Source organism: Homo sapiens, chromosome 12 (assembly GCF_000001405.40).
Source record: "Homo sapiens chromosome 12, GRCh38.p14 Primary Assembly".
NCBI lineage: Eukaryota > Metazoa > Chordata > Mammalia > Primates > Hominidae > Homo > Homo sapiens.
Genome location: NC_000012.12, coordinates 68182905 through 68204819, shown reverse-complemented (window position 1 = coordinate 68204819; position 21915 = coordinate 68182905). Strand labels below are relative to the sequence as shown.

General features: G+C 40.1%; 1 protein-coding gene and 1 long non-coding RNA gene across 2 annotated transcripts in view; one reads left to right on the top strand and one right to left on the bottom strand.

Moving 5' to 3' along the window:
- The window catches only part of IL26 (interleukin 26), a 24462-nt gene extending 20991 nt beyond the window's left edge, over positions 1-3471 (top strand). Inside the window, exons 4-5 of the mRNA NM_018402.2 lie at positions 2737-2802; positions 2889-3471. Of these exons, the coding sequence (NP_060872.1) occupies positions 2737-2802; positions 2889-2975 (153 nt within the window). The 3' untranslated portion in view covers positions 2976-3471. The remainder of the gene's footprint in view (positions 1-2736; positions 2803-2888) is intronic.
- Positions 3467-21915, bottom strand: LOC105369818 (uncharacterized). The gene is made up of 3 exons (XR_001749193.2): positions 18876-21915; positions 6092-8729; positions 3467-5241 (listed from the first exon to the last, which is right to left on the bottom strand). It is a non-coding gene; the product is annotated as an uncharacterized LOC105369818 (long non-coding RNA).

Here is a 21915-nt window from a genome sequence, read left to right as displayed (position 1 = left end):
AAAATGAGAACTCTGTAGATCAGATCTTTACTAGGGGTCACTCGTAGTAAGCAGTGCTCAAGGCACCGGGAAGCATTCCTTCAACCAGAGTGCAGTTGTGTGGCAACACTGGCACTGCTAGTTTTTTTTTTTAATTGAACAGTGTTTTCCTCCTTTTTGACTCTCATTACTCTTCCTAGAGTAGCATGTGCCTTTGGTGTGAGTGAGGGACAAAACCTCTCTGGCACTTCCCACCTGCTGTGGGATGCATTGCACATCCAAGTTTCCCAGGTAGAAGACACAGTTGACAGGAATGCCTGTTTTATTTAACTTCGGTAGTGTCCAGAATGTGGCTGGTTCTTTGGTCTCTTACCTTCAGTGTTAAATCTTTAAATCCTGGCCAGGCGCGGCGGCTCATGCCTGTAATCCCAGCACTTTGGGAGGCCGAGGCGGGCAGATCATGAGGTCAGTGGATCGAAACCATCCTGGCTAACACGGTGAAACCCCATCTCTACTAAAAATACAAAAAATCAGCCGGGCGTGGTGGAGGGCGCCTGTATTCCCAGCTGTTCGGGAGGCTGAGGCAGGGGAATGGCGTGAACCCCGGGGGTGGAGCTTGCAGTAAGCCAAGATTGCGCCACTGCACTCCAGCCTGGGAGACAGAGCAAGACTCTGCCTCAAAAAAAAAAAAAAAAAAAATCTTTGAATCCTAACACATGATTTTAGAAACATGAGGAACTACTTTTAAAAAGGATTCTATGCATTAAATATTAGGATGAAGTTTTACTGAGCATTCACAGATGCACTAATGACAGATTAGAACATTCCACTCATCCCAGAGAAAGAATCCCATGTTGTATAGTTTGGTGCAAATGTAACATGAAATACACCTAGAAAGCATTCTGAAGTCAGGGCTCTTATCACAGTGAGGTCTAACCCTGTGTTCATGAATCCTGCAAACTGTACCTTAAGCTGAGCAGTCTGTGTCTGCAGCCCCTTGATCACAGCAGTCTGCTGTGCCTAATCATGAAAGCCCCTTTCACAGGAAGAGTCTCTTCCCTCCTATGCAGGGTCTGATCTGAAGGTAGCATCCCAATTTGGGCAGAGCCAGAAAACCGTCACCACCATGAACACCCCTGAAGAGACCTGTTGGTTGACCTCAGCATTTTGATAGATGTTATCATTTAGCCACTTTCATTTCAAGTGTTTGAACTAAGTGTTATCTTTATTGATATGACATTCTTTTGTCGAGAGGACATTTAGAGACTAAATGTTATCATTTACCCACTTCCGTTTCACGAGTTTTAACTCTTATCTTTAACTGTTAGATAGTGACACTATTTTGTCACGAGCATAGGACTCCCTGTGGGATGTTAGGTGAGTGACTTAACTACCTGGGCCTTGGTCTCCCTTTCTGCAAAGTGCAAACAATCGGCTTATTCAATCTCCTTGGTCTATTCCAGTGCTAAAAGTTTTATGAGTAAAAACTAAGTAGATAAATTAGGCATTTTCACATTTTCTTTCCTTTCTTTTCCTTTATTAGTCCTATAGAAATTTGTGGGAGAATAGAGTAGGATATTAACTTTCTCCTGTTTGACGCCCAGGTGATTCCTGTGCTCAGATAGGGTTTGAGAATTCACTTGCACAAAGCGGACTGGTAGTTTCCCCTGGCCAGCCAGCCTACAAGCCAGCTGCTCGAGATACTAGCCTGCTGCTTCTCCTAATTTCGAAAGTAATATTTAATGTCCTAGGTGCCTTCTCCTTGTAGTCTACACTGAACATTGTTCTGTGCTTTGTACATGATAGGCAGAGTGATTTTTTAAAAGGTAATTTTTTTTTCTTGTCATTCTCATGTCCTTCATGCTTCCCACATTTCTCTTGCTTAATTGCTCCAGCCATGCTTGCTTGCTTTCTTTCAGTTTCTGGAAAGCACTGAGCTTTCTCTTGCCTCGGAGGAGCATATTTTCCTCTGCCTGAATTACTCTCTTGTGTCTTCTCCCCAACTTTCTCTCTCCTTTCCTCAGTTTCTCATATAGCCTGTGCCTTCCCATTTCTGTTATCTCAACTTAAATGTTGATATGGTTTGGCTCTGTGTCCCCACCCAAATCTCATCTTGAATTGTGATCCCCAAATGTGGAGGGAGGGACCTGACGGGAGGTGATTGGATCATGGGGGAGGTTTCTCCTGTGCTGTTCTCATGACAGTAAATGAATTCTCATGAAATCTGATGGTTTAAAAGTATGGCACTTCCCCCTCTGCTCACTCTCCTGCCACCAGGTAAGATGTGCCTTGGTTTCCCTTCACCTTCTGCCGTGATTGTAAGTTTCCTGAGGCCTCTCTAGCCATGCAGAACTGTGAGTCAATTAAACTTCTTTTCTTTATAAATTACCCAGTCTCGGGTAGTTATTTATAGCAGTGTGAAAATGGGCTAATACAAATGTCATTTTTCAAAAGACCCCTCCTTGACCACCCAGTTGAAGGTAGGCGGTTCCTATAAATCCCTGTCATAGAGTTTCGAGAGTTGCTAACACAGCTTTAATTGTAATTTGTAAATTTTTGTTTTTGTTTTATTTGTCATCTGCTTTCCCATGAAACTTTAAGCTCTGTGAGGAAAAAGATCATGCATTATTTATTTTGCCAGTGCATATCTAGTGCTCAGCACATAATACCTGCTCTATAAATATTTGTTGAATGAATGAAAGAGTATCATTAATGCCTCTTCAACAATATTATCTGTAATTACTGTTGATTTCTTAGATTTCCTGTGCTTCATCAGCTAGAGAGATGAAATCCATTACCAGGATGAAAAGAATATTTTATAGGGTAAGAATTCTAAATCCTTATATTAAAAAACTTTGTTTTTTAAAATAGGAAAAATTTATTCTCTTATATCTGTACTTTATCTGCAGATTGGAAACAAAGGAATCTACAAAGCCATCAGTGAACTGGATATTCTTCTTTCCTGGATTAAAAAATTATTGGAAAGCAGTCAGTAAACCAAAGCCAAGTACATTGATTTTACAGTTATTTTGAAATACAATAAGAACTGCTAGAAATATGTTTATAACAGTCTATTTCTTTTAAAAACTTTTTAACATAATACTGACGGCATGTTAGGTGATTCAGAATAGACAAGAAGGATTTAGTAAATTAACGTTTTGGATATAAGTTGTCACTAATTTGCACATTTTCTGTGTTTTCAAATAATGTTTCCATTCTGAACATGTTTTGTCATTCACAAGTACATTGTGTCAACTTAATTTAAAGTATGTAACCTGAATTAACTCGTGTAATATTTGTGTGTGGAGTGGGATGTGGGGGGTGGAGGGGGAATGACAGATTTCTGGAATGCAATGTAATGTTACTGAGACTTAAATAGATGTTATGTATATGATTGTCTGTTTAAGTGTTTGAAAATTGTTAATTATGCCCAGTGTGAACTTAGTACTTAACACATTTTGATTTTAATTAAATAAATTGGGTTTCCTTCTCCTGGGTGTCCTTTTCATGACAGCATGCTAGAATTTCATGGAGTGCAAGGGGTAACTACAAGATAACAGCAAATAAGATGCACAAAGTAACTAACCCTTGGAATAATTTACCAGGAATGCCTTTGACAGGAAACCCAAGCCACTAAGACCACAAGCAACCAAGATCAAATGATGGTGAATCTTGATAACACAGCTTCAGGGTGCCGTACAACTAGGAAAGTTCATAGAAGCCGAATGAAAGGCTAAATGCAGTTCAAATTCCACCACAGTCAACTTTTCATAATGTCTAAAAACCCCATCTACATACTTAGCCCTTCAGTTAAATGAGTAATATGGCCTAACCATTGTTTTGCCTTAAAGGGACTCTGCTCAGTGCTATTGGCATACAGCATGGAAAACAGGAATAGTTTCTGATGGCACATCCTAGGCCACCAGCCAATTCATTCCCACAAGGCTTTCATTGTGCCCCTGCTGCACTCTGACAATTCTGGGACTTGGCACCTTTTGTATTAATAGGTGGGACTTCACCAAGGTCTTCATGGATTATGTCTCTAGAAGCTTTTCTCTTCATTGCTTTCCCACCACCTAGGTCTTCGTTTCAGTCTTGGGGTCATTAGGCTGTTCCCTAGGAACTACCCTCTCTTGATTGATTTCATATTCCAAAGTGATCCCTTTCTGCCTTTCCCCATCAACACACTGTGGTACCATGCCTGATCTCTTCTGGGGATGTCATTCCTAGACAAGTATACAGGACAGGAAAGGTGTGGTGAGCTGCAGGGCATTGGTGAGGGGAGACTGGAGGACTCTTTTCATCTTGCTTTTTACCCAGAGCTTTCTGGGCAGGCTCCTGGGCCATCAGCAGCAGGGCAGTCTTCTTTCCTGAGAAACATTAGGAAGAGCTGGAATCTGGGGGATCAGGACCCTGCTCCCTGGCTTTGCCAAGGACTGGGGGAGATGATGCACTGACAGCCTTTCCTTGATCCACTTTTAGGGCTCTCAGCATTTTCCAGGATTCGGCACCACTGGCAGCTCAGTTGAAGTGTGCTGGACTTCCACGAAGGCCAAAGTAGCCCCCAGTCTTGGTCACAAACCATGGGGACAGCTTAAGAGCTGTCCCATTACTTGGTGTCTCCAGACATGAGAAGGGCTGAGAAACATTCATTTGCCAGCCAGCAAAGAAATATTTACTATGGGGGCTTTAGATTCTTAGGAGTAAAATTTCATTTGCCTCCCCAGTGTTGCTGGGTGATTGAATTTAATATTTGTTTGATTGTTTCCGAAGTTCTTTGGTTTTCCAGAATAGTCAAGAGGTTGCTAAACTCAGTCAGGAGCAATAGAGGAATTTAAAAGTCACCATCGTGTGAAAAATCAATATCCAAGTGCTGGTGTCTATTCACAAACTTCTCAAATGCCAGGGGCAAAAGCACAGTTTTTGTGTGCTTGAGTAAGGACTGGTATATTGAAAGGGCAGCAAGAGAGAAGCTGTAATCTTGTGCACAGTGGGGACACTGTGTCTTGGTGGTGCTGCTGTGGGTTCAGGGGTGAAGCCCTCTGATTTACAGGCCCCACTCTGGATTTTATCAGAACCAGGGATGATGACACGTTGGGAAATGCCTGTGCATCCCTGAACCCACATGAGCTGCTGTATAAACCTTAAACCCATTTAGCATTTGTAGGAGGTGATCCCTTTTGGTAGATCCCTCTTGAATGAAACAAAGAGACTAAGTATCCCATTAAGATGTTTTGTCTGGCCGTCTCTTGCTGCTTCTCTCTGCCATGTGAGGACACAGGAAAAGACAGAAACATAAAAAAATTTTTTAAAAGATAGTTTTGTCTGTCAACCATTATATCAGGCCTAGCTCAGGGTAGAGCAGAAGGAGCTTGAGTACCAGTGGGTAGCATGGAGTGTTGCAAAGAACCCTCAGCAGGGTTGAGAGACCAGGCCAGCCCCCATTTCCTTCAGGTCTCTCTGGCATCATCAGTAGGTCACCTGCACAAAACAGTGACACCCCAGCCCCCCACCAACCCCTGCTCACTTTTCTCTAAACCACTCCTCTCCTGCTGGCATGCTTTGTTTGTTTATTGACGGTCTCTACTACATCAGAATATTGGCTCTGGAGGGCTGGGCTTTTGTCTGTTTTATTCTCTCTAGGGCCCCCAGCACCTAGAGCAGGCCCTGAACCCTGAGGAATGGAATATATCAGTGCTTCCTGACTTTGATTCTCCAAGTGCACTTATACTCTTATTTGTGTAACAATGAATTTAAATTAACACGTTATTTTCTTTGGCCCAACTGAAGCGTAAATAAATATGTGACTTTAAAAGTAGATAACTTAAACAAATACATTCCTAACCAAAACATGTTTATATGCGTACATATAGAATCATTTTGCAAACTCTGGGCAGAACGTGTCTCACACATTGGGAAACACTGCATTATAATGAATTTCCACTGCCTCATTCTGCCTCAAACTTAGAAATATATGAAATTAGAACCAGATCATTTTAACCTGCCCACAGATACCAGTTTAGAAAAAGTCAAGCCACGATGTTCAGGTTTCAAAATGGTTTCAGAGCTCCCGTCATTTTTTCCGGAGATGGAAGGACGAAAGCACACTCACCCAGTCAGTCACTCCATGGTTCTGATGACTGTGGCTCTTGACAGAGGGTGCTAGGATAGTGGCACGACCCTCCTCCTTCTCCCTCAGCCCTGGTCAAGAGGTCATGGTGGATACAGCTCGAAGGGAGGGAAGCCACAGGAGTTCGTGAGGCTTGTGGATTGTTCAGATGCACACGAAGGGGTAGGAACAAAAAGTGAAAGCTCTGTCAGGCTAAGCTGGAGTAGCAGCAGAAAATCTCAAAAATAGGCCGGGCGTATTGGCTCATGCCTGTAATCCCAGCACTTTGGGAGGCCGAGGCGGGCCGATCACCTGAGGTCAGGAGTTTGAGACCAGCCTGGCCAACATAGTGAGACCCTGTCTCTACTAAAAATACAAAACTTAACCGAGCTTGGTGGCGCACGTCTGCAATCTCAGCTACTTGGGTCTGAGGCAGGAGAATCGCTTGAACCCGGGAGGTGGAGGTTACAGTGAGCCAAGATCGTGCCATGGCACTCAAACCTGGGTGACAGTGAGACTCTGTCTCAAAACAACAACAACAACAACAACAACAACAAACTCAAAAGCAGATGCAGAACTGTGCTGTGAATTAATGTTCATCATGAGAATTCATAAGAATGGATGTCCTTCACTACGTCTGTGAGTTATGAACTAAAATGAAAACCAATCGATTCTATAAATATTTATTGAATGTTCTGCTAGTCATGCAGTCATGGCTGAGGTGTAATGATAAATAAAACTCATAGTTTCTCCCTAGCAATTTAGAAACTAGGAAGGAAGATACATATCAAAGACAATTAGTGCAATGCAAGCGATCATGGAGACGTGTGCAAAGTGCAGCGACGTGGAGGTCTGCACTCTGCAGAGGAGGTGAGCCTTGAGAAAACATCCTTTAAGACTCAGCTCAGGTGTCACCTCTTCCAGCAACCCTTCCTTGATCCCTCCACTTCTAGGCTGGCTTAGAGTCACCTTGCAAAGCACATCTTCAGAATAGCACTTACAACATTGTGTTGTAATTTTGTTTGCTGCTTGAGGGGGGATCAGAGCTAAAGAAATAGTTTAGGATGACTCTAGGTTTCAACATTTCTTACTAATTTGAAGTAAATAAAGACGCAAAAATGCATTGAAATGAGAGTCTAGCATCTCATTTGGCCAAACGCAGAAACGCCTTGAAATGTGGACTTTGTAGAAGCCTGGCATGTCATAATTTAAAAAGACCAATGAGGCTACATTGTCCAACTTTGCATCTTATACCAGAATCTCCTTCCTAACACTGTCCTCATCTAACTTATGCTTGACCGCTCACAATTAAGAAAGACTAGTGACCCCTTGAAGAGCCCTCGCTAAATCCAAATAATCCTGCCTATTAGAAAATTATTCATATTAATCTGAAATCTGTCCTCTTGAAATTTATATATATTTTCCTAGTTACAAACCTATAGTTTCCTATATTACAAAAAGTAATATATGTTTGTTGTAAAACTGAAATAACACCAAGGTATATAAACTAATCATAGCTCACTGCCTTTCCACCTCTACTTTCCCAAGTGAGCCAATGATGGCAGTTTGTGGGGATTTTCCCACAACTTTTAAATTTTTCCAACAACAATATAAATATATGTTCATATAGAGTATCTTTCCCTTCTCTAGAAACAAAAACGTTATCATATCATTTATTCTACCCTTCAACTAGCTCTTTCCATTTAACACATCGGGAACATCCTTCCAGGTATGTAAATGTGTGTATACACATGTCTGGGTATGCATGCATGCATATGCATATGGGCAGATATAAAAATATATTTTTATATAAAAATTAAAATGTCATATTAGCTATGAATTATATATTTTGCAAATATAATGTATTTTATTTATTCGGTAGTCCCAGTTAATTTCAGCTTTGTTCATATAGCACAGGCTGTAAATGTGTGTCCTAATCTGTGCTCTTATTTTTACAGAAATGCTTTCTAGAAGCAGGATTGTGGGATCAGAACATATGCCAAATATTGCCAAAGTACTTTCATAACTATTTCATTGCTAATTTTTCCCCACATTCTTTCTTGCTAAAACTGGATATTATCAATATTTGAATATTTTTGCCGGTCTGGTGGCTGCAAATTACATCATATTGTTTTACTTTGCCTTCCCCTTAAAGCTTGTTAAATTGATCACTTTTATATGTAGATTCTATTTACATTTTTCTTTTTTGAGACATTCCCCCAAATGTCCTATGGGCCATTTATTTAATAAGTTTGAAATCTTACCTGAATCTAATTTCAAATGGTACAATTAAAGTAAAATGTAATCAAGTTTAACAGTTCAAATAATCAATAGAGAGAAACACCCCCTGGAAAGGCACATTATGCAGTCTCTCCACCGCCTTAGCATCTCTCAGGAAGAGACTGCTGTGAGGATGGCTTCTCCTTGCGTCCCCCAGCCTAGACTGGGGAGTGCTCCACACCAGCTCTTGCTGCTTTGGGGATCCAAGGGAGAGGGAGAAACCCACCATGAATGTAAGCATTTGCACATGTTGTGGGAGGTAGACGTGGAGACTGAGAATCCTGTAGGGTTAAGGCAAGCCCCTCACTTGCCTATTCAGGACCTGCTCAAAGCTTCTCCAAGCTCCCTCTTCTTCCCACTCCTGCAAAATAAGAGGGCAGATCATCCTACTGATTTGGGATGAGAAATACTTGCGCTACTTTCCCATTAATTAACTTCCATCCATTAACTCCCAGCAGCCTTTAAGGATGAGAGATGTTGCCCTGGTGTCTTCGGGAGCCCACTCTTCCCCCTCCATTAAATACCTTGGTGTATCACTGGTTTTATGTTTTTAACTTCTTAAGAAAAAATGCTTCATAAATAAAGGTACTTGGTATAAATAAATTCTTCATAAAGATGGATAAAAGTATCTAAGAGATGTGGCTATCCTCTTTAAAATTGCAAACCTTTTACCATGACATTTCACATCTCATTTTTCCCTCTCCAAAACATGTATCACATTCTAACATACTATATAAACTACTTACATATTATTTCCATTTAGTATTGTCTGCCTTCTTCTACTAGAGTTTGAATTTCATGAGGGGAGGGACTTTCATGTGTTTTGTTCACTGTTGTATGTCTAGTATCTAAACAGTGCCTTACACAAGTATGTGCTCAATAAACTTCTCTTGAATGAGTAAATGAGTGGACTCTGTGTTCAAAGATAAGGGGAAAGAACCAACAGAACCCCGTTGCCAAGGATGCTAAAAATTCCAACCGTGGCTGGTTCCCAATCTCACCCTCTATGACAGGATAGAAACTCTTGTAAGTGGTAGGTAAAATGGCTCCCAACCATGTGGTCACATATCCTTTAAACAGAACTATTTTCAAAGTGGTTGGTTCAAATGAAGCTCTAATGTTTTCTATTTTCCATTTACCCATATCATTTATGATTTAGTCCTTTTAGATTAGGCTTAGAGTGGCTTAGATGAGAAGGTACATTTGGGGGTTAGACATGGACAGCCACAAGTGTCATTAACTTTTGCATAATAAGATGACCTTTTGAGACTTTTTTTGGAACTGGTGAGAAAGCATTCTCTTCACAGAAATTATGTCCCTTTGGTACTTTTTAGTCATTTGCAAAATTTGGTAATAATTTCCTGCAAGGTACAGTGCATAGAGGATGGTTGAGTCCCAGCCTTTCATCCATATGTTGTGGTTGGGAGCCTACTCTAGGGTCCTCTAGTCACAATGATTGGTGAAGATTCAGGAATGGGCCTATGACCCAACAAGGCCCAATCAGAGTGGATTCCAGGATTTATAAATGAGTTCTGGAAAATGAGTCTTTCTCTTTTCTATGAACTATAAGCTTGGAAGAGTATTGGTTGGAATTGCTGCAGCCATCTTGCCACCATGAGGACAGAGACTGGCTGAGAATCAAGCCAACATGTTAATCACTCAGTTCTGAAAATCCACACTCTCCTCTGGGATTCTTTCTGCCTCACTTAGATGCTGCTTCTTGATCTTGCAAGTGAGTTTCTTCTCTATCAGAACACTACAGATTGGAGGACTCAGGGCTAGTTGTGGCTTCTTGTAATCTCCATGTACTCTATTGCTCTCTATACAGCTAATTCAACCCCATGGCTTTAAATACTATCAGTGTGCTAATGTCTCCAGGGTTGACCTAGTCCCTGAATTCCATGCTCACACATTCAATTATGTACTCGATATTTCCATGTAAGACATCTCAAAAACAATATGTCAAAACCGGAAAATTTGTTTCTCCTTCTAAAATCAGTTCATTCTCTAGTATTCCACAACCTGGTAATACAAAACGTAAAGATATCATGGTTAAGCACACAGACTCTGAAGCCGATAAAGCTTCACATAGAGGCTGTAATTTAACAACAAAGTGAGGTTAATCTGTCCGTCCCTCTCTTCCCTTGTCTGTACAATAGGGATGAGAATAGTACCTATCTTGTAGGGTTGTTGTGGGGTTCATGTGAGGTAATATATGTAAAGAGGTTAGAGCCATGACTGCTATATAATAAAAACTTTATACGCATAAGTTGTTATTATTATATGATAAATTGTCACCTACTCAATTGCTAGGGCCATTTTTGCAATTACAGGGATTTTTTATTTCTTCTTTTCCCTCATATCCCAAACCAAATTCATCAGCACATTCTTGCAGTTCTACCGCCCCAATATATCTCAAATCCTTCCGCTTCTCCTATCCCCATTAGTATACCCTGGCCCAGGTCACTGCCATGTCTCACCTGGACACTGGAAGAGTCCTCCTTCTAACTGGTCTCATTGTTTCCACTCATACCTTGCCCCTGAATCCAGCTTCATTGAGCTTCTAGAGAGAACTTAAGAAGTGTAAATCAAAGCATATCCCTTCCTGTTTGATGCCTTTCAATGGCTTCCCTTGCACTGAGAATAAACCTTATTATCTGGCCAAGAAAGACCTACATTAATTGCCTAGCCTTTCTCTCTGACCTTGTCTCCTGGCCTGTGTTGTCTCTTAGCTGACCTTTCTGCTTCTGAAAAGTGCAAGTTCAGCTCTGTCTTGGGCATTTGTAGATGCTAGCTCCTCTCCCTGGAGTACCCTTCCCCAGGCCTTCCCACAGTCCGTTCCTTTCATTTACGTGTCAGCTCAAGGGTCTCTTCCTTTGACATGACGTTCCCAACCCAGCTGAGGAAGGATCTCCATCCACTCCTAGTAATTCCAAATCACCTTTGTTATTTCCTTCATATTATCCTCATGCTTTGAAATTATCTTGTTTCTTTGTTGATTGCCTTGTTTATTATCTTCCTTTCTTTGACTCTACTAAAATGTAAGCTTCATGAGAAGAGAGGTCTTGTGCATATTACCTGTGACCCTACCCATCTGTTCATTTTTGCCACCTCTCATATTCTCACTCCCATCCCTAGTCAAATGAGATTCCTTCTCTGAATTCTTCTTGCTGTCATGATACCTGTTAATACTTGTAGAATGCCACTTGTCACACTGTATTGAAACCTTTGACTCCCTTGTCTGATGCTCCCACCAAATCAAAGGCTCCTCGAGAGCAGGGATTATACCTTGTTGATCTTTGTATTGCCAACATTTAAAGGACAGCTTAGAACACAATAGGGGCTCAAAAGAGTCTAGTGGACGAATTAAGCATGATTTATTACATGCAGCAGAAGTTTTGTCAAGTTTGTCAGAATGAAAAGAGGCATTATCAGTTCTTTGAGGATAAAAGTAGTAATTCTCATATTAAGAGATGTTTTGAGGATGATTCTCGCTATTAATCTGTGGCAGAAGACTGCTTTGAGGAACATGGCATATGTTTGCTTTTTCTCCATATCTCTGAATAGATGTTAGCTCTTATAGACAGCTATTTATTTCTTTTAACCACTTGTAATTTTCCACTCAACAACTTCTAAAAGAGGCAGTAGAAGTATGTTTTATTAGTTTCAGAATAGATTTTTTTTAAGAGTCTGGCTCCATTCTTGGAAAGGTTGAGTTTATAACTTATTTTTAGAAATTTCTGTTCTTAAAACATAAAATAGCTCTGTTTGTTGATGGTGCTTAATCTATTTTGTTGCTATTCTGCTTTCCCCACAACTGTGCTTTCTAAATTCTGACACGTTCCATGATCCTCAGAAATATATTGGCTGTGGCCATTTGGTTAAATGCATGGCCTAACGTGTTGTTTTCACCAGACCAATCACCAGCTGGGTAATGATACAGATTATATTATCATAGAGCAAAATGGCCTATGGGGCACTTTGGGTGCACTGTTTTCTTAACCCTTAAAATAATCCCATGAGGCAGCATGAGCATTTTCTCACTCGTTAGCCTGACATTCAGGGAGTCCTTATCTGGCCTTTTACTCTCATCAATCCTAACCTAAAATTCAGCATATAGTAGGTGTTCAACAAGAGTTTGTCAAATAAATGACTGAATAAGTTTAAAAATCCATCTCTCATTACCCTTTGACATGTATGCCTCCTTCAAGATCAGTCTATTTTTTTAAAAAGCCCCCAACACGAGACAAGCTTATTTCTGCTTTCATGTCCTTCTGTGTGCCAGATTGTCCATCTGCTATGTCTTCTCTACTCTTTTATTTCAAGATAAATTATATATTTTCTTCATGATCTCCTCTGCTCTACTAAGTCTTGCATGGCCACTGTAGCCCACAATGAATATTCCCTTTTGGTTAATTTCCCAGTGTGATTGAAGATTACCTATAAATACATGCTGAGCTTTCTCTATGTACCTGATTTTGTGGAAACTATTTACGGTTCTGCTGTTTTATTCTGATATAGCTTTCCAAGTGTTTCCTCAAATTTTACTACATTGTGTATTTTACTCATTTAGCCAACAAAGATTTATTTGTTTTACTTATTAAGTGTCAGGCTCTGTCCTAAACGTTAAACAGGTGAACATACCATTCTTGATAGGGGGACACAGAAATAAACAAAGGAGTAAACATAAAGGATGTCAGAATAACAAGAACAAACAAGCAGGAGTGGGGGGGTTTCAGGGACTGGGGAAGGGCGGGGACTGGTTTGCTCTTAAAAAAAAGGCTGATCAGAGCTGGGCACAGTGGCTCATTCCTGTAATCCCAGCACTTTGGGAGGCTGAGGTGGGTGGATCACGAGGTCAGGAGATTGAGACCATCCTGGCTAACACTGTGAAACCCTGTCTCTACTAAAAATACAAAAAAATTAGCCGGGTGTGGTGGCAGGCACCTGTAGTCCCAGCTACTTGGGAGGCTGAGGCAGGAGAATGGCGTGAATCTGGGAGGCGGAGCTTGCAGTGAGCTGAGATCACACCACTGCACTACAGCCTGGGTGATAGAGGAGACTCTGTCTCCGAAAAAAAAAAAAAAAAGGGCTGGTCAGGAAAAAGCTCACCAATGAGGTGACATTTTTGCACAGACCTGAAGGATCCTTACAATGACTAAGGAGTAGAGAGTAAAAAGATTATTGATTTTGGTTTTGTAATTTATGTGGATGTAGAAACAGGCTTGGGGATGTTAAATATTTTTAGTAGCATCACATAATTATCATGAAAGAAGTTAAAGCCATGATCTAGAAGATTTTACAATTCTCTGATTCACCTGTTGTGCCTTATTTTCTCTCAGGTAAGCTTCTTAGTTATCTGGTTACTTTTAACAAATGGCAGAAACAACTTCTTAACTATGGAAGATTATGTTCTTTTGATTTACCAAATTATTTATCCATATATGCAGAGAATATATTTTCTGAATGAAAAATTGGGCAGCAAACTCTGAAAAGTTCTAACATGCTCAGAGGGACAATGGGACCACATAATTGAAGTTGGCACCAAACCATGAATATCTGGTCATCATAATAATATAGATGCCTTGGACATAACAGCAAGCACTAACCACAAAGTAATGGTGTACTTTGCCCATAAGAAAGAAACAAATGTGTGACTGAAATCAGCTTTTCTCACTCTATTGCATGGAATATATAGTATTTCCTCAACATATTAGTTTTCCTGTTTTAAACTTACAAAAGTGTTTTCTTATTTAACAAGTTTAAGAAAATGGTGCAAACTATATTTTCTGTATGGGGAATTATAAAGCCCATCAGAATGTTACAGGTTGGAGAAGTTCCACATTAAAACAACTCTTTAACTTTGTTTAATATGAGTTTCTAGAAGATTGTTTCTTCCAAGAATACATTGGCCTTGTAGGCACTTAGTCAGATCAAATGCCTTGTTACCTAGAAAACAGTTTGGAAAACACCAGTTCACACAAATGGTTATCTTGAGATGAAGCAGAGCTAGAAAAGTGTATTATTAATGAAGAAGAAGAAAAACAACAACTACTGGATTTCTCTTCAAAGAATAAGAAAAACATTTAAGGAAGCAAAATGCTGATATGATAAATATGTTTGGAGGAGATTAGAAGAGATTTTAATAAGTATATATAGATAATAATTTTTATGTTTGCTATTTGTATTTATTGAAACAAAGTGAATGTCGTAAGTGTGAAATGCACTGAAGAGACATCTCAGATTGCTGCTTCCTGCTCACCTCATCTACTGAAAAAACATGGTGTGTCACCACAGTGACTTGCCTTTACCCACAAGTGAGGAACTCAGTTTTATTTCCTAGATAAAATGGAAGTGCCAACGATATTCACTTTTTTTCTGTTCATCTGTAACATCTTGGGAATGACCAATGACACTTTCCTACTGAGAAAGAAAACTTTTCATGGTAGTAGTAACCACAGATTTGGATGATGACTCACATTATTACATTAGTAACATCTTTTGTTCTATACTCCACACAAGGAAAAAAGTGCTGAATGCAAAACCACAACTTCAGCTGTCGGTGGAAATGATAGTTAATGGTGCTTTGCTGCTACGCTGGGGGCCAATTCTTGGTAGAGAGGATTATCTTGAATGTGGTTTCTAAATCAATAGATAAGTATGAATTGTGGCACAAATTATATAATATAATTGATTATCATACTTTTAAAATAGATTGAATCTTTTTTGTAAGAGAAATCTGGTTGTAAATTATATTAAAAATAAAATTTTATCAATAAATATATATGTAGATATATATAAGTTATAAACAACTCAGAAGGCCCCTAGATATGGAATCAATTAATGCTTTCTATAAGTTATTTCAAAGGCTAACTCTAAATTATAGTGGGAATAATTTTGGGCTTCAGAGTATGAATTTGGAAATCCTAAAGCCTATATTGGAGAGTTATGATAATCAAAATGGCCAAGACAAGTCCTAGGAGACAATAGCATTTAGTTGAGTGCCTTTAAGAAAATCTAGATTTGTCAAGTAGCTGGTCAATTTTCACAAACATAGCTGAAACAAAATATATTTCAGAATAACATAGGCTTTCTGTGACCATTTCTACACTTGTAAAGTTCAATGTCTAAAAATGTTGGGATGACGTTTTTTTCCCCTCAAGTATCACTTAAAAGAAAGCTTTTAGGCATATAATTCACTTAGATTTTTAATTTATCAATAGTTTCTAAAATAATCTTCTCTGAGAGTGTTGTCAAGGTAAATTCTAAAATGTATTGTTTTAAATTTGTCATGTAACAGGACATTTTACTTCAGAGCTCACAATTGGTGACCATAATATAAAATGTAAAAGAAAAATAAATCCTTTACTACTATTCTGTAATGTGAATTTATTAGTGTCACCACTGAAGCAGCTACAGATAATGATGCTGCCAACAGAAATTTTAGGTGGATTGTGATAAGCATTTCGAAGCAAGTTTTGCCTATTTTCCATAAGCAAATTTCCCGATTAATAAATCAATACTCCTTTAAGTGGCCCATTCTTTCCTTTTTGGATAATGATTTTGAAAGAGAGCTTTCTAAGACATATTACATAGGTTCCTCTTACAATAAGTTTATTCTACGTCTCTAAACTTCAGTTTCCTCCTCACTGAAACGAATACTTTCAATTCAGAGACTCCTAAATTCCCTCCTAGCTCTCATATTTCCTCCTGGCTATAGGCATGTTGGTGTGTGAGCATGGGTCATATTCACTTCTTCCTTTCTGTGTGTGGTTTCTCTTTCTTAGGAGCCCTTCTTCCGATGGCCTCATCTGTTGGTATTCATGCAGACTTGGGCATCCTCTTCCCCAGGTTTCCTGAAGGAGCCCAGAGCTCTTATTCCTCTGGGAAATAGGACCATCGCTCCCTCAACCTCCTGCTAACCACAGGCAGGATTGAAGAAGGGACCCGTAATTTTGTGTCCCTGGTAGGATCTTCAATGTTCACAGCCTCCCCATGACTCTCAGCTTTGAGACTACCAAGGATAATCCCGTGATGCTCTTTATGCTTGTTTAGGACGGAGGGCCCAAGAAGCCCAGGACATCCAGGTGACCCCTCCGTCCCAAGGCTTTCATTTCCGTGATGGCACTGCACTTCCTTTTCCCTCACTTCATCTTCCACCTATCTCCAGCTTCTGAAACCCTTTCAGTGTGTCCCCTGAACTCACTGTCAGTCACCAGCAAGATCCCTTATATCTTTAACATTTTCTCTGAACTTTGCTTTCTTACTGTAACTGACCAGACTGTCCCTTGGAGACCTGGTTCCTTTGCAGATTTCTCTAGATGCATCTGTTTTCTTTCCCTTTTCTTTTGCACCCTGGGCATGTAGGTGGAGGTCGTTTAAGTACCATTCTTGTGTTTCATCAAGGCACACCCCATTCTCCCTCTCTTCTTCTTGAAACTCTTTAGTGTCTTCCTGCTTTAAATATCCTATCATCAGACTACATTATGCACTAATCCCCATGGTCATCATGTACTGATCCCTCAGGTGCTCCTCCTCATTCTAGAAAGATTTTACCTATTGCTCACTGTCACACTCTCCAACACCACCTCATATCATACACTTCAATATGTGTACATGTGGTACTTCAAACACGCTGGTCTCTCCATTCCTGATCTCCCTTCCACTCAGATCTTGCCCTTTATCTTACTTTAGCCAATTCTTCCCATTGGGAGGATCCTAGAAGTTGCATTGTAATAGCAACAGCCCCCATTCCCCACATTATCTCAATGACATGACTCCTACTCTATGACTTTTCAGCTTGCCCTTTCTATAACCCACTCTAGCTGTCATTAAATTCCAATGGAATTGAAAAAAAACATTATTCCTAGCATCTTTTCACGGTTCCTCTCCACTTTATGTCTTTACTTCTCTCATTATCGAGCCTCAATTCCATGGTCTGTCATTTGTTCTTGTCTTCCTTCATCGTATTTTCCTGGAAAAACTCCAATCAATCATGGCTAAATCCAACTCTCTGCTGTCTACCCTGAGCTTTGCACTGGATGACAGTTTCTTAAGTTGTAGTGGAAATACTTTTAAATACTTTTAAATAGGATTCACATTACAAACTAAGGTTATCAAGTCCTGGCATGTGCCAATAAAGATGATTATCATCATCAACAACATCGTAGTTCACTGTATGCCTGGTAGAGCTCTAAGGGTTTCATAAACATCAACAACACTTTATTGATTAATTGATTTTTTGAGACAGGGTCTCACTCTGTTACCCAGGCTGGAGTGCAGCCTCACCATCTCAGCTCACTGCAGCCCCGACTTCCTGGGCTCAAGTGATCTTCCCACCTCAGCCCCCCAAGTAGCTGGGACTACAGGTGCAAGGCACCACACCAGGCTAATTTTTGCATTTTTTGTTGAGACAGAGTTTTGCCTTGTTGCTTAGGCTGGTCTCAAACTCCTGAGCTCAAGTGATCCACCTGCCTTGGCCTCCCAAAGTGCTAGGATTACAGGCATGAGCCACCCAACAACACTTATTCTTCACAGCAACTCTATGGGATAGGTGCTATTTTCTTCCCTACTTTTAATTGAGGAAAGTAAGATCCTAAAAAGCTAAGTAACTTGCCCATTGTCACACAATTAGTGAAGATGGAGCTAGGATTTGAACCAGAATTTTTTGTCTGGGCTTTAAATTGCTAACCCCTACTGCCTCCTGACTTAGGATTCACTCAAGAAAAAAAAAAAAAAAAAAAAAAGGGCATGAATCAAACAAAAAGAAAAGAAAAAAAAGGGCATGAATCAAACAAAAAGAAAAGAAAAAAAAGATAGGTAGATGTACTTATGTAACAACATTATGTTAAGTGAAACCGTGTAAGGAGCCAGCATGCCAAGTACTTCGAGCAGGCTCCCTGAAGGTGGTTTATTGGAGTTATCTTTATGTGTAGCCACATAAACTGACGTGGAGTTTACGCTCCACAAACTCACTGTGCAGATCCCGAGACCTCTTCCCTATTTCTCTGGCTTTGCCCTCCTTTGGTGTGGAACTTTTCTCCCCATTCTTGTCAAGAGAGATCTATGAGCACAGCATTCCCAATCTCCCTCCACCCTCTCCTTCACTTTGCCCTGGGTGGAGTGACTCTTCTGCCTGCTGTGTTTGGGAGGACAAACAGGGCACATGTACCCAGCCCCTTCCACATCTCTCTGCTTTTCCTCCTGGGAGTGACCACCTCTGGGGAGCACTGGCTTTGTCCTGCTCCCCCAGGGTCTTGGAGAGGGTGTCCATCCTGTCCAGCACCAGAAGTCGGTTAAATATTAAATTCTGAGGTTCAGTTTTAAGACCCCCATTTGCCCACAAATTAGAGCTACATTCTCTGTTATTTGCTTTATCAGAAAGAGGATAATACTTTGCTTTTCCATTTGTTTCACTCTTTGTCGTATTTTTCAATGGGCACAGAACCAAGAAGAGAAGAGAGATGTTATTTATTGGTTGTTACATTGAACTCCAAAATTCACTCACCTTTCAGCAAGAATTTAAGCATTTCCTTTTTAGACCTCCTCCTCCTCCTCGTTCTTCTTCCTCTTTTCTTCCTTTTCTTCTTCTTATAGGTAATTGCACAATGAAGGAATCCCCTATGGCCATGTTTTCTTCTGCCACATGATGTCGTTGCTGAAGAGTGTCCCTACACAGTGTAATGGGTGAGGCTGGCTCAGTCCTTATATGGCTCCTGAAGCTTGCCAAGGCAGGAGATTTTGGTTTCCTCATGACGAAGTGCCCAGTGTGCCCCAAGTTTATTTCCCAGCTTGCTGATTTTTTTTTTTTTTTAAGACAGGGTCTCATTGTGTTGCCCAGGCTGGATTTGAACTCCTGGGCCTTCATATTCCTCCCACCTCAGCCTCCCAGGGAGCTGAGACTACAGGTATGCACCACCATGCCTGGCCAACTTTGCTGTTCTTAACGCTCAGCTTGTTCAGTCTTCACACCTGGCCACCTCTCAGATCCTCTTGGCCCCAGGAACACTTCTTCAGAACTGGTTCCAGCATCTGGCCCCTCGTGCACCCAACCATTTTCCTTTGTCTTGAGATCCATCCCTTTTAAGTAACCAAAATACAAGGGGACTGCTTATTCCTCTTATTTTGTTCTTGCTAGGTAATGGTGATATTTGCCCTATGTAAACTCTCTCTGGCTGCTCATCTGCAAAATAGAAATAAAAATAGCACCTATTTCATAGAATTGTCAGAGGGTTAAATGAGTTAATGCATGTAACTGTCATATAGTAAGCATTCATTAAATAATTTGACAATAATTGTTATTATAATATCTTGTTAGAGGAGAAGCAACGTCCTCACTCTAAAATATAATTGACAGAGAAACCAGCTACGTGTACATAAAGGGTGGTTGTAGTGGATTGAATAGGGTCCTCCCCAAATTCATTAGGGTAAACCCTAATCCAATGACAGATGTCCTTATAAGAAGAGGGAAATTTGGCACAGATACACATAAATGGAAGGAAGTTGGGCATGTGAAGATGGAAGCAGAGAGTGGAGTTGTGCTGCCACAAGCCAAGGAGTGCCAAGAATAGGCAGAAGCCAGAACTGGTAAGGAAGCATTCTTCCCTAGAAGGAAGCATGGGAGCATGGTGCTACCGACACCTTGGTTTCAGGCTTCTAGCCTCCAGAACTGAGAGAGAACAAATTTCTGTTGTTTTAAGCTGCCCGGTTTATGGTGATTTGTTGTGACAGCTATAGGAGAATAATGCAGTGGGAATGACAAAGTATTAGAAATTAATATTTACTAAATCAGCCCTGGAATCTCACCTATAAATATATTACCCTAATACCACTTCCATTATTAGTTTGGAAAAATAACATAAAGGTCATGTTTTAAATCCTTTTGCTTTAAGCCAAGTATAATAAAGATCATCTTTCTAAATCACTCCTGCCTCCAGCATGGCTTCCAGAAAATTAAGACCTTCAGGAAATTACTTATGGTATAAGCAAGCGAGATGGTCAAAAATAAAGATGTATTATTCCCATTCATCTAGACTGGACCATGTAGGTTTATCATCTGTGATAAGTCCACACCCCAAAATGAATAAGCCGCTTGGGTTCTGTGTGCTTTGATCCTTTTACTGATGACCCCAAAAGAGTTTCCTTTGAGAGAAAGGAAGATACCAGATGGGGAAACATCCAGGGCATGGAATGCACCACAAGTGGACTAACTCAGCCAAAAGAAACAGGAGGAAATGGCGTGCTTCAAAGGTGGGTGAAAAGTGTAAGGAGAAGCAACAGCCAAGAGTGAGTGAATGGGCTAGAGATTTACCAGTGGGCGGGATCCCGAGAGGGCAGGGACTAGAAATTGGAGGGGCCAGAGGTTTATGGAAGGCATGTTGATAGCACTGGTAAAATCATATTATATGTGCTTTATTTTTTATTTTTTGAGCACTTTAAGGTTTATAGAAAATTTGAACAGGGTAGTGTTCTCATATCCCCCTCCCTATTTTCCCCTGTTACTAGCATCTTGGATTAGTGTAACATTTGTTACACTTGATGAGACAATTTTGATATGTTATTAACTAAAGTTCATCGTTTACATAAGGGTTCATTCTTTGTGTTATACATTCTATGGGTTTTGATACATGTATCCACTATTACAGTATCATACAGAATAGAATTTGTCCTAAAAATCACCTGTGGTCCACCCATTCATCCCTCTCTCCTTTCCCATGAGCTCCATGACAACTACTGATATAATTAATTAATTATAGAGACAATATCTCATTCTGTTGCCAAGACTGGAGTTCAGGCGTGCGATCGATCATGGCTCACTGCAGTCTCCACCTCCTGGGCTCAGGCGATCCTGAGTAGCCTTCCAGATTGGCTTGTTTCACTTTGTAATATGCATTTAATTTTCTTCCATGTCTTTTTGTGGCTTGATAGCTCATTTCTTTTTTATCACAACATAACATTCCATTGTCTGGATGTATCAGAATTTACTTATTCCCTTACCTATTGAAGGACTTCTTTGTTCCTTCCAAGTTTTGGCAACTATGAATAAAACTGCTATAAATAAAACATTCCTGTGCAGGTTTTTGTGTGGTCATAAGTTTTCAACATATTTGTTTAGATACCAAGGAGTGTGATAGCTGCATTGTATGGCAAAACTATGTTTAGTTTTGTAAGAAACTAACAAATTGGCTTCCATAGTGGCTGTACCATTTTGCATTCCCATCAGCAATGAATGAGAATTCCTGTTGCTCAACATCCTGGCCAGCATTTGATGTTGTCAATGTTCTGGATTTTTGCCATTCTAATAAGTATCTAGCGGTTGTCTTGTTGTTTTAATTTGTGATTCCCTAATGATATATGATTTTGAGCATCTTTTTATGTGCTTATCTGTGATCTGTGTATCTTCTTTGGTGACGTGTGTGTTCAGATCTTCTGCCCATTTTAAAATCAAGTTGTTTATTTTCTTATTGTTGAACTTTATGTGTTTACGGTATATTTTGGATACCAGTTGTTCATCGAATATATGTTTTGCAGATATTTTCTTTCAGTTT